Consider the following 13,489-nt stretch of genomic DNA (forward strand, 5'->3'; position numbering starts at 1 on the left):
TCTTGTTTGTTGCATTAACTAAATTAAGAAAAACAATGCTGAAAGTGGATTTAAATTATGCTTGTTGGCCGGGCGTAGTGGCTTACGCCTGTAATCCTAGCACTTTGGGAGGTCGAGGCGAGTGGATCACCTGAGGTCAGGAGTTCAAGACCAACCTGGCCAACATGGTGAAACCCTTTCTCTACTGAAAATACAAAAATTAGCTGGGCTTGGTGGCAGGCGCCTGTAATCCCAGCTACTTGGGAGGTTGAGGCAGGAGAATTGCTTGAACCCAAGAGAAGGAGGTTGCATGAGCCGAGATCACGCCATTGCACTCCAGCCTGGGTGACAAGAGCAAAACTCAGTCTCAGAAAAAAAAAAAAAAAGCTTATTATAACAAACCAAACAATTCAGAGGTATACATAGAATAAATTAATAATCTGTCTTATTTGTAATTCTGACACATTTTGGTGTTTTATACTGAAACTTTGATGATAGTATTCAGACAAACTTAACTCACCAAATATTTATTGGGTGCCTACTATACACCAAGTCCTCTACTTAACTTTGGAAAATGAAGGATGACCAGACAAAGACATGATCTCTTACTTAAGGAATTCACAGCTTAGTGGAAGTAGAGGTACAAGTAAATAAATATGTAAAACTTAATATAGAATTATGTATAAGGACTATGTTCTGTATAAGTAGAACAAAGTAGGGAATAATTAATCTTGAGTAAAGCCTGAGGAAGGTTTTAAAGCATGAGTAAAAGTTTGTTGTATGATTTTGTCTTATGTTTCCATAATATTTTTGTATTTTCTCAATTTGTGGAGGCCTTTCTATTTCCTTACCGCCTCTAATAATTTCTTTCATTTTTTTCCCCCTTCTTTCTTTGGTTCATTCTTTTGTCTTAATTTTTTTTGTACTTTCTGTTTTCCCTTATTTTTCTATCCTTTTTTCTTTTTATCATCTCTCTTTTCTTCTTTTTGACAGTTTACCACCTGCCCTACCCCATTATTGGGCTTCTTTGTTGAATTCATTCTTTCATTTTCTTCTGGTCCCCATAGCTTGTGCCTAAAAATATACTCCAGATCTGACTACTGCTTACCACCACCCTTGCTGCATTACCACCCTGATCCGAGCTATCAGCATCTCTGGCATGACCTATCCCCCTTTGTAGTTGATTTTGCTAGCTTTCTAACCAGTCTTCCTGCTTTCACTTCCTACAGCCCTATAGCTATACAGCATTCAAAGTGATCCTTAGAAACATAAGTTAAATCATGCCGCTCTTCTCATCAACATTCTAAGTGGCTCCCTGTCGGACCTAAAGCAAAACTGAAGTCCTTATGGTGGCTTCAAGATCTTATATTATCTGGTCCTAATTATTACTTCTACTGTTTTCTTCTTTACTGTGCTCTAACCACATCTACTTGCTTAGTAACTCAGGCCAAGCATGACTCTATTTTAGGATTTTGCATTTACTCTGCCTGAAATGCTCTTCCCTGGATACCTGGATTTTTTCTTCCCTGTGTATTTCAGGTCTTTGCTTATGTAACCTTCTTGGTGAAGCCCTACTTCACCATCCTATTTAAAATCACGGCCTTTAACTGATACTACCTATCCCCTTTTCTACTTTATTTCTCTCCATAACAGTAACTTTCTATGTATATTTTGCTTTTTCATTTCATGTGTTGTTTGCTCCATCGGGCTGTAAATTCTGTGACATTGGGGATTTTTTGTGTGTTTTGTCCATTGTTGTTTTCCAATACCTGTAATAGTACCTGACATATAAAAGGTGCTCAAAAAATATTTGGTGAATGAAACGCCATTTTCAGTATTCTTGCCTAGGTTATTTCACATACTCAGAAAGTCAAATTTGAGATTGTTTTTAATTTGAAGATTTTATTCTATAAATAATTGCTGAGGTTGTAAAACCAGTTCTTTGGCTATGTAATATAAAAATTCCTCTCTGTTGAAACCATGAAGCAAGATTCTATTATATTGTTTTAAGAATAGTTCGTATGAAGGATGAAGCCCTCTCCTTTTGGGAGTGATTAGTTGTTTGAGAATTTGCACAGCTGCCACATTAAGCTTTGTTCTGGTTATTCCCTGTCACACACTTACGTCTTCCTGTGTAGATTTTACTATTCTCAGTTGCCTTTAGCCATACTTACACATAATATGGAATTTATGGGGATTTTTTTTTCTGTCTCCTTTGCTCAGGATGCAAAGATTTTTTTCTATTCATGTTACTAGGTATGGTTTCCAGAAGAAATCAGAAAATTCACTGTTAAGTGTCACCAAGTTTTTATCAAAACCTGTTTAATTTTCAGGAAAAAAAAATCAATGAATGCTGTTTTTAAAAAATAAATAAAAATAAAAAGAGTGACCCACAGGATGGGAGAAAATGTTTTGCAGATCATGTGTCTGGTTACAGTTTAGTATCCAGAATGTATAAGGAACACTTACAGTGCAACAATAAAAAGACAAATATCCAAACTTAAAAATAGGTAAAGGATTTGAATATATAATACTTTTTTTTCCCCAGAGAAGACATATAATAGAAATGGCAATAAGTACATAAGGAGATACTCAACGTTATTAGTCCTCAGGGAAATGCAGATCACAACCACAGTGAGATATCACTTCATACCCACTAGGATGACTAAAATAAAAAAGACAGACAATAACAAGTTTTGACAAACATGTAGAGAAATTGGAACCCTCAAAAAATTAGAGTTATTATATGAGCCATACTTCTCCTCCCAGATATACAGGCTTCTCTTGGAGATATTGCAGGTTTGGTTCTAGACCATTGCAATAAAGTAAATATTGCATTAAAGCAAGTCACACAGATCTTTTGGTTTCCCAGTGCATGTAAAAGTTATGTTTATACTGTACCATAGTCTGTTAAGTGTGCAATAGCATTATATCTTAAAAACCAATGTATATACCTTAATTTAAAAATACTTCATTGCTAAAAAGTGCTAACAATCATCTGAACCTCAGTAAGTTGTATTCTTTTTGCTGGTGGAGGGGCTTACCTTAATGTTGATCACTGCTGACTGATCAGAGTGGTGGTTGCTGAAGGTTGGGGCTGTGACAGTTTCTTGAAATAAGACATCAGTGAAGTTTCTGCATCGATAGACTCTTCCTTTCATAAAAGATGTATTTGTAGCTTGTAACGGTGTTTGATAGCTTCTTACACACAATAGAACTTTTCTCCAAATTGGAGTCAGTCCTTTCAAACCCTGCTGCTGCTTTATCAACTAAGTTTATGTAGTACTCTATAATAGATCCTTTTGTTGTCATTTCAGCAGTGTTCACAGCATCTTCACTAGGAGTTGCTTCTTACGGATGAGCAAAGAAAGTGGTTTGCGCCTCAAGAAACCACTTTCTTTGCTCATCCATAAGGAGCAACTCCTTATCTGTTAGTTTTATCATGAGATTGCAACAATTCTCACACCTTCAGTCTGTACTTCTAATTCTAGTTCTTTTGTTGTTTTCACCTCATCTGCAGTGACTTCCTCTACTGAAGTCTTCTACCCCTCAAAGTGATCCACTAGGGTTGGAATTAACTTCTTCCAAACTCCTGTTAATATTGTTATTTTGACCTCCCACGAATCACAAAAGTTCTTAATAAGGCATCTAGAATGGTCAATCCTTTCTAGGTTTTCAGTTGACTTTTCACAGATCCATGAGAGGAATCACTATCTGTGGCAGCTATAGCCTTACAAAATGTGTTTCTTAAATAAGACCTGAAGGTTGAAATTACTCTTTGATCTATGGGATACAATGAAAATGTTAATCTCCATGTACATCTCCATCAGAGCCCTTGGATGACCAGGTGCATTGTCAATGCCCAGTAGTATTTTGAAAGGAATCTTTTTTTCTGAGCAGTAGGTCTCAATAGTGGGCTTCAAATAGTCAGTAAAACATGCTGTAAAGAGATGTGCCCTCATCCAGGCTTTGTTATTCCATTTATAGAGCAGATTCAATTAAACATAATTCTTAAGGGCCTTAGGATTTTCAGAATGGTAAATGAGCATTGGCTTCTGCTTAATGTCACCACTGCATAAGCCCCTAACAAGAGAACCAGCATGTCCTTCGAAGCTTTGAAGGCAGGCATCAGCTTCTCCTCTCTAGCTGTGAAAGTCCTAAATGGCATCTGCTTCTGATAGAAGGCTGTTTCATTTGCATTGGAAATCTGTCGTTTAGGGTAGCCACTTTGATCAATTATCTTAGCTAGATCTTCTGGATAACTTGCTGCAGCTTCCACATCAGGACTTGCTGCTTTACCTTGTACTTTTATGTTACAGAAAGACAGCTTCTTTCCTTAAACTGCATGAACCAACCTCTGTTAGCTTCAGACTTTTATTCTACAGCTCCCTTACCTCTAACAGTTTTCATAGCTTTAAAGAGATTTAGCGCCTTGCTCTGGGTTAGGCTTTAGCTTAAGGGAATGTGATGACTGGTTTGATCTTCCTTCTAGACCACTCAGACTGTTTCCATATCAGTAATAAGGCTGTTTCGTTTTCTTATCATTCATATGTCCACTGGAGTAGCACTTTTCTAAAAGTTCCTTCCAGAACTTTTCCTTTGCATTTACAAATTTGCTAACTGTTTGGTGCAAGAGGCCTAGCTTTTGGCCTGTCTTGGCTTTCAACATGCTTTCCTCACTTAGCTTAATCGTTTCTAGCTTTTGATTTAAAGTGAAAGGCATATGACTCTTCCCTTCACTTGAACACTTAGAGACCATTGTAGGGTTATTAACTGGCCTAATTTCAATATTATTGTTGTGTCTCAAGAAATTGGAAGGCTCGAGAGGGAGAGAGATGGGGAAACAGCTGGTCAGTGAAGCAGTCAGAATACACATAACATTTGTCAATTAAATTCAGAGTCTTATATGGATGCGGTTTGTGGCTCCCCAAAGCAATTACAATAGTAAGATCAAAGGTCTCTGATCACAGATCACCATAATAGGTAGGATAATAATGAATAAGTTTGAAATATGAGAATTACTGAAATGTGACACAAACATAAAATGAGCACATGCTATTGGAAAAAATAGCACCAATAGTCTTATTCAATGCAGGGTTGCCACTAAATTTGTAAAAAACCACAGTATCTGTGAAATTCAGTGAAGCAAAGTGCAATAAAATGAGGTACTATGTTTCAATTCTTTTGGGTAGTTCTCCTGTATACCCAAGAGAATTGAAACATGTTCCTACAGAAACTTGTACATATGCTTAATTCAGCATTATTCATAATAGCCAACAAGTGGAATAAGTTTGTTCGTCAACCAATTGACGAATGGATGAACAGAATAGGGTATCTTGCTAAAATGGGGTATTATGAAAAATGAAGTACTGATACCTGCTACAATATGAATAAACCTTGAAAACATAATACTAAGTGAAAGAAACCAAACACGAAAGGCCATGTATTGTATGATTATTTATATGAAATGTTTAGAAAAGGCATATCCACAGAGACAGGAAGTAGATTAGTGGTTGCCAGGAGCTGAGCAGAGGGATGAGTGGGGAGTGGCTGATGATGGTTTGTTTCTGGGATGATGAAAACGGTCTGGAATTATATAATGATGACGGTTGTACCTCTTTATGAATATACACCACTGAATTGTATAATTTAAAATTATGAATATTATGGTATGTGAATTATATTTCAATACAAAAATGTTTAAAATGGATCAGATGTGGTGGCTCATGCCTGTAATCCCAACACTTTGGGAGGCAGAAGTGGGAGGATTGCTTGAGGCCAGGAGTTCAAGACCAACCTGGGCAACATAGCTAGACTCCATCTCTAAAAAAATTTTTAAAACAGCTGGTTGTGGTGGCACATGCACCAACTACTCAGGAAGCTGTGGCTGGAGATCTTATTAGCTCTGGAGTTGGAGCTTACAGTGAGCTAGGATGGGACCACTGCAATCCAGTCTGGAGAAGAGTGTGAGACCCTGCCTGGAAAAAAAAAAGTTAAAAATGTAAACATTAAAGGGAGCGGTCAAGAGTGATAGGTGCCATAAACATGTCAAATAAGCTCTGAAAGATGCTGTTTGAGTTGGCAATTGATTATTGATCATATTATTGAACACTTTATAATTGATCAGTGAACTTGGCAATTGATCATTCACTGGTGACTGGTGAGAATGAAGTTAGTGGAAAGATAGGAAATCAATGGAAAGATTGACTACAGTGGATTGAAGGAGGAGTGGTAGATTGAATATAGAATTTTCTCAAGAAGCTTAAGTAAAGTGATAGCAAGAGAAAGGACTGTAGCTGTAAAACTGAGATTTTATGAAGTTGAAATATTGTTTTTTTTCTTAAAAATGATAAGAACCTTTAGCATGCTGTGGCAAAGAGCCAAGAGAGAGAAAATGGATGTAGGTATAGAGAAGAGAGAATAATTGGTCAAGCAAGATACTCAAGGAGTTGAAGGAATGAAATAAAAAGCACAGATGGAGAAATTAGGCTTAAATAGAATAAATGATACACCCTTCAAGAAAGGCTGGAAGGAGTTAGAAAGTTGTAGATGTAGATTTAATTTATAGAATTCAGCTGAAGAAAATGATGTTATTTTTATTTTCTCTGAAGTAGGAGGAAAAATTGTTAAGAGGGCAAGAATGAGGGCAGCAGGATGGAATAGATAGCCTGAGGCAAGTCATAAAGGGTCGCAATAGATTCTGTTTGGGAACCGAAGAGTAAATTGTCAATAATGAGTAAATTGTCAATAATAAATAAAAATAATGATGGTTCCCATTGTTAATTAGGTATGTGGGTAATTTAACTAGACTATATTTATCATCACAATAGAAAACTAAGGCTCAAGATGGTTAAAAATATCTTCCTTTTGTCAGCTGGAAGGTGATACAGGTGGGATTAGAAATCACATATACATGATTTCAAAGTTGCATTCAGGCTCTTTAGGTTGAAGATATTAGATATAGGCTGTCAACATCAGTGGATATTTATCCTCAGAATGAATGCTTTAAAAGACTGACGCTTATACCAGTGTCTTTCATATTTTCATGTAGATCTAATTTGCATACTCAAGAAGTAGGGAGATGGAAATAAATAGACATAAAGTATGCTTTAAGAGTTGAGAGTAGATGAGTTTTAGACTTACATAGAATTTACCCGTTCTTATTTTTTAGTTGCGACAACCACCAGTTAAGCGTTTGAGACTTCGTGGTGATTGGTCAGATACTGGACCCAGAGCAAGGCCGGAGAGTGAACGAGAACGAGATGGTAACTATACTTTGGTCAGCTTTTCTTTGTATATGGTATTTTAAAATTAATATTTTAACTTCCAGTTTCTTCACTATTATAAATTATTCTGTAATGAACATTCTTATACATATAGGTATACTTATGCAAATATATCTTAGGATAAATTCTTAGAAGTGGAATGGCGCAGTCACTGGATAAGTACCTTTTAATTTTGGTAGTTGTTATCAGATTAGTCTCCAAAAAAGATGTGCTAATTTACATTCCCACTGAAAGTATAAGAATGCCCATTACCCCATAGTACGTTGGGTATTGTCAGACTTTGCAGTTTTTGCCTTTCTATTAGATATTAAGAGAAATGAAAACTCAGCCCAAGGGTTTTATATTAGCACATAAAATGTTTTCTATCAAGTGCCTTTGATAAGCATAAGAATCAACCCTGGGAGCTTTAAGATAGCACACTTGAAAATAGAATTAATCTATGAATTATAATTCTATATTATTATGTTTTATTAAATTGGTCTGTAACCAAAATCTTACTATAATGACTTCTGAAACATCTCTTGTGATCAAAAGCATATTCCCCAATATATGAGCTACATTATATAAAGGCAATAAAGTGTAAAAGAAACTCTGATTTCACAGAAAATGTAAGAAGAACCGATTTTCATTTTAAATTATAAGACTATAGAATAGAGTTGTCACATTTTGAATTTGACATTACACTTTTAATTTGAAAATACCCTTGGAAAAACTTGTTTACTTGCAGGAGGAAAAGGAGTGAGGGAAGAGACAAAATACTTTCTGGTTCCAGTTAATTTCAAATATCTGAAATTTGCTTACAGTAAATGATGTTGAAAATAAATTGACTTTAAGGAAACTTCATGCAAAAGCATAAGGCTATTTTGTGTCTGTACTTGATTATAATGCTTTAGGGAGAGGGAAAACCTTTCTTTTAATCTATTAAACTTAGAATTCATGAGCCTTTCTTGGCTGGGTACTCTTAGAACTAAAAATTTAGGTTGAGGTAGGAAGTGGGAGGTTTAGTGGTACCTAAGAATAGGCAAAGATGAAGGAGAGGTGAGCCCTGTTCTCAAGAAACCTTACCATACACATGGAAAGTCACTGATATAAACAATTACTATAAAATGTGATGAGAGCTCTAATAGATTTATATACATTCATACAATTTATTTAGGAAATTTGATTTTTAAAAATATGCTTTCATTTTAAAGCCCTTCAAATCTAGGTTTTTGTATTAATGAAAGATTCTGACTTATTACTAAACTCACTGATAAGACCTATATTGTAATAGGAGAGCAGAGTCCCAATGTGTCATTGATGCAGAGAATGTCTGATATGTTATCAAGATGGTTTGAAGAAGCAAGTGAGGTTGCACAAAGCAATAGAGGACGAGGAAGATCTCGACCCAGAGGTAATTTTTAATGTTAATTAAAGTCATCAGAAAGCTGGCAAAAACTACTTATTGAAGCCAGTTTTTATTTCTATCATGTAAATTATACCATGTTTTACATCTGTAATAATCACAAGGTTCTTATTGTGTGGTGTGAAGTAGTAGAGAATAAAAGATATTGGATATAATTTGTCCCTTCTGGTGCCATTGGACCTAGTGCGTATCTTTTGCTTTTCTCAAAGTAAAGTAGAAGAATCTGAGGTTTCCTATTTTAAGCCTTTTTTTAATGCACTCTGAGAATGGAAATATATAAAATTCTGTGTATAAACAAGTTTTATGTAATAGGAAAGATTGATTGCTTTAACAAGAATATGTTGTAGATAAGTTTTTATCCCTCTTGACTGGCCTATTTTGTCAAATGGGCCAAATCACCAGTAGTTATTATCACTGAAATTATATATTTGTGTGTGTAAATATAAATGTGTTTTCTGAGCATATCTGTTTAGAGTTGTTGGTTTTAGAAAATATTTAAAATTTGAATTTGCCTTAACATGTGTTTTGAAGGTGGAACAAGTCAATCAGATATTTCAACTCTTCCTACGGTCCCATCAAGTCCTGATTTGGAAGTGAGTGAAACTGCAATGGAAGTAGATACTCCAGCTGAACAATTTCTTCAGCCTTCTACATCCTCTACAATGTCAGCTCAGGCTCATTCGACATCATCTCCCACAGAAAGCCCTCATTCTACTCCTTTGCTATCTTCTCCAGACAGTGAACAAAGGCAGTCTGTTGAGGCATCTGGACACCACACACATCATCAGTCTGGTGAGGATAAGTATGCTGTGGTTCATCTAATGATTTTTGATAGTGAAAATTTCTTTACTGGCTATTTTGAAAGATACTAAATCACATCAACTTCTTGTTGGAATAAATGATCAAAATGACATGTAATATATGGTTATGTAACTTAAACACAAAAATTAATTATGTCTTACTTGCATGAATTTTAACAAATAGCAGGAATCTTCAATTTATATAAAACAATTGTTTTAAAAGTACAAGTACCAAAAGATAGTGTTTTGACATAGTTTAATGTGCCTGACTTAAATATTATTTTATAGATTATTAGAGACCAAAATATCTTTCTAGATTTATTTGGTTTTATGTCTATATTAAAGTGATTATGAAAATATCAGTATTAGTTTCACTTTGCTTATATTCTTGATTATTTCCCTCAAATAATGCAGTACTTTTAATATACTCTCTATGGTGGATTTGATATGGTCTTTTGTCAACAACATATAATTTACCAAAAAATTTGTTTCTCTAGTATTTACATGAAAAAGAATTATTTTACCAAATGCTTATCTTCTTGATACTTGATGCTAGTGAAAATAACCTCTACGTTCTGTTAAAATGCTATTTTTTTCTCAGTATTATAAGTCTTTATGGTCAACTTTTTTCCCCTAACTATGGAATGTGCTAGTATTTATAATAGTAATTTTCAGCAGATGTATCTACAGTTTACTCGGTACTTTAAACTATATACATGTAATTATAAAAACCAATAAGATATTTATTCATAGTTTTCTTTGGTTCTTCTAAGGAAGAATTTTACTCAATATAGAGCCAGAATTATTAGCAACTAGAAATATAGCTGGCAGGCCTAAGCTGAAACCTATAAAAAAATTTCTAACAGCTTAGCTGCCAAGCTGTCACTTTATTCTTACATCTCTGGAAACTGATGCCAGATTACCAAATATGGGATGTTTTAATTTAAGCACTCTTTTATCAGTATATACCACTTTTAGTAATTCATTTTCAGTTTCTATGGGAATAAAAGCCAGAGTCAGTTACATAACTGTTAACACTGTATACATTTTATCCATAATAATAAGCTAAAGCTGAGCTACAGAATCAAGGTTTTCACACTCAGTTGACATAGCATTTTAATTTATGGAAAAATAAAATATTTTGGAAGATTTGGGAATTAAAAGCAGAAGTAGTTAAAAGTTTGTTTTTCAAAGCAGGTAAAATTGGGAAAAGCAAGAATTTTTAAAGTGATATTCTTGAACATATTGATCAATTATAAGTTTTTAGGAAAACTTAGCAAGAAGACTCTAGCTTACATTCAGCTTCCACTGAATCTCAACTAATTCTAGTTGTTTCTTAAATATATTTATGAGTAAAGTATTTGGAACTTTATTTTTTAAAGCTATCTAATGCATTTTAATTACTGCATTTCAAATTGCTAAATTCCTTTCAATATTTAATGTAAGTATTAAATGTGACAATCATTTGAATTATTGAAGAAGAAAAAATATCTTTGGTGGTCATGTGATGATTATTGAAACATTATGCAGTACTTTTACTCATAAATTATTTATAGGAAGTAAGGAAATATTTTTAACTGGGAGATTATTGAGAGAATTTTGGTTGACTAAGCTATAGATAATTAGAATATTTCCATGTTATCAAGACATTATCACTATTGAGAAAAATGATTTGGTGTTAGATGTAACATCTGAAGGTTATGACTGTAGTTGTTCTGATAACAGCTTTTTCATTATTCTGGAGTTCAACGTTTCAGGAGTAAGGACTTAATTTGTTTCTGTTTTTGTTTTTTGTCCAATCTCTTTTGCATTTGCCATAGCCTAAGTCCAAATGTGTTTGTGAATATTGGGAATTGTCCATTGGGTGAATGTAGTAGATGGAAATGTCAGCTTAGGACCATGATTTCTATTATTTCCCTGCATAGAGATAGAGAAAATGATAAAGTATACTTCTGTCTATGCTTGCCTTGCTGTGGATACCTTTTTATGTAAATGTTTATCCCTTTACATGTCCTCCCTCATTTTTACTGATATCAAAGAAACGGACAATGGGAATATGAAAATTTGCTACGCTCCATCTCTGGTTGAACCTAATTGTCTGCCTTCTCTTAGTCTACAGTGGAATCACTGAATGATAATGAAGAAAGTTATGACCACAAATTTCAATGGGTGCTCAACACTGTGCATCAGAGCAGCCTCACACTGTTGCTCTCCAGCTGTACAAAATGACTATTTTACACTTTCATGTCTCTCAAACTTTAATACTTCCCTTCATCCCCGCCCCACTTCCAGATTCTAACCTTTCATTCACAATGAAAAGTACTCGTTTTCCTACTGTCAATAATTTCCCAGCTTTCCAACATCTGTACTCACATTGTGATAGAAGCAGAAAGCTCCTATCAAAAGCTAGTCAATGTAGTTGCTATCCCTTTCCAGCTTCTCAAAGATTTCGCCCCTTCTCTTGCATTATCATTGCCTTTTTTTGCCAAATTGTTTCTTTTGGCCTTAACATGCTCTTATTATCTCCTTTCTTTAAAAATTTTCTCTTAATTATCTCACATTCCCCTTCAGCTATTGCCTTATTTCTCTGCTGCTTTCGTAATGAGAATCCTCAGAAGAGTTGTTGATAGATGCTCTCTCCATTTTCTTGCCATCCTTCATTTATTTATTAACCAACCCCCATCTGCTTTTCAACCCCCTTTTCCTCTGAAACTTTTAATCAAAGTCACTAGTGACATTCACCAGTTTAAAGGATATTTCTCTGTTAGTACCTTACTAGATTTTTCGACCCGGTTGCATTTAACATAGGCTGTCACTCCTTCTTGAAACACTTTCCTTTCTTGGTATCTATGATATCATATTTGCCTATTTACTCTTATTAATTCTGGTGGGTTTTCAGTAACTGTTGTTCGTGTTTCTTGTTCTATCTCCTTCTGAATATTATAATCAAACCCCTTAGTTTGGGCTCTCTTCTCTTCTCTTTACATACACTCTTTCTCTGGGTGATTGTGTCAGTTCCTCATAGCTTTTAATATCTCCTGTAAATTCATGACTCACAAATATATATATCAGCAATCTGATCTTCTACCCTGAATTCCAGACCCTTATGCCTGATGTCTGACTGCTATTTTGACAGTATGTTTTTGTTATTGTTGTACATCTTTTTTTTTTTTTTTTTTTTTTTTTTTAAAGACAGTCTCACTCTGTCACCCAGGCTGGAGTGCAGTGCACAATCTCAGGTCACTGCAGCCTCCCCCTCCTGGGTTCAAGCAATTCTCCTGCCTCAGCCTCCCAAGTAGCTGGGATTACAGGTTCCTGCCACCACACCCAGCAAATTTTTGTATTTTTAGTAGAGATGGGGTTCCCCATGTTGGTCAGGCTGGTCTTGAACTCCTAACCTCAAGCAGTCCATCCGCCTCGGCCTCCCAAAATGCTGGGATTACAGGCATGAGCCACTGCACCCGGCCTATTGTTGTACGTCATAAATCTACATGTTCAAACTAAAACTTAATGCAGCCTCCTACCCTTCCTGTTCCGTAATTGGCTCCTTCTTGGTCCATTTGCTTATTTGAATAACCTGTGAGTTTTTCTTGATTCCTTCCTTTTCCTCAAGTCCCATGCCAGCTCATCAGCAAGTTCTTTTGTTCCTGTATCTAAACTATAACCTGGGTCTTTTCATCTCACCATCATTTCTTGTCTCCTAATTAATCTGCCTGTACCTACTGTTGTTCCATTATAATGTATTCTCCATGCAGGAGCCAGAATGAGTATTTTAACATGTTAAATCAGATTATATAACTTTGCTGTTTAAATCCCTTCAGAAGTTCCTAATTGCATTTGGAAATACAACTACAAAAGAAAAAAAAATCAAACTCCTCACTGTGGACGTATAAGAATTTATATGGCCTGCCCTTCCCTGTCTCTCTAGCCTCATCTCATTCAATTTTCTCAGTACTTGATGATTGTTACACTCTAGATGTACTACTGATTTCTTTCGGTTATCAGAGAATTTCCGTGCC

The 13,489-nt window shown here is 35.1% G+C and overlaps 1 protein-coding gene and 1 non-coding gene across 26 annotated transcripts in view, besides 1 other annotated feature; both read left to right on the plus strand.

Moving 5' to 3' along the window:
- Window positions 1–13,489, plus strand: part of DCAF6 (DDB1 and CUL4 associated factor 6) — a 212,261-nt gene that overhangs the window by 131,756 nt on the left and 67,016 nt on the right. For all 25 annotated transcript variants that reach the window (NR_146229.2, NR_146230.2, NR_146228.2 and 22 more), the window contains 3 exons: window positions 7,151–7,244; window positions 8,539–8,658; window positions 9,202–9,462. Coding sequence is in view for 22 of the 25 variants with exons in the window: in XM_047425194.1 (XP_047281150.1) it covers window positions 7,151–7,244; window positions 8,539–8,658; window positions 9,202–9,462 (475 nt within the window). In the remaining 3 variants the exon portion in view is untranslated. The remainder of the gene's footprint in view (window positions 1–7,150; window positions 7,245–8,538; window positions 8,659–9,201; window positions 9,463–13,489) is intronic.
- Window positions 1,069–1,128: an enhancer, noted in NCBI's record as "active region_2056". NCBI's record gives its function as "activates an Ori minimal core promoter by ATAC-STARR-seq in GM12878 lymphoblastoid cells {active_cell/tissue: GM12878}" and the evidence as "EXISTENCE:reporter gene assay evidence [ECO:0000049][PMID:35858748]".
- Window positions 3,329–3,395, plus strand: MIR1255B2 (microRNA 1255b-2). The gene has a single exon (NR_031702.1). It is a non-coding gene; the product is annotated as a microRNA 1255b-2 (primary transcript).

This window comes from Homo sapiens, chromosome 1 (assembly GCF_000001405.40).
Source record: "Homo sapiens chromosome 1, GRCh38.p14 Primary Assembly".
In the NCBI taxonomy this organism is placed as follows: Eukaryota; Metazoa; Chordata; class Mammalia; order Primates; family Hominidae; genus Homo; species Homo sapiens.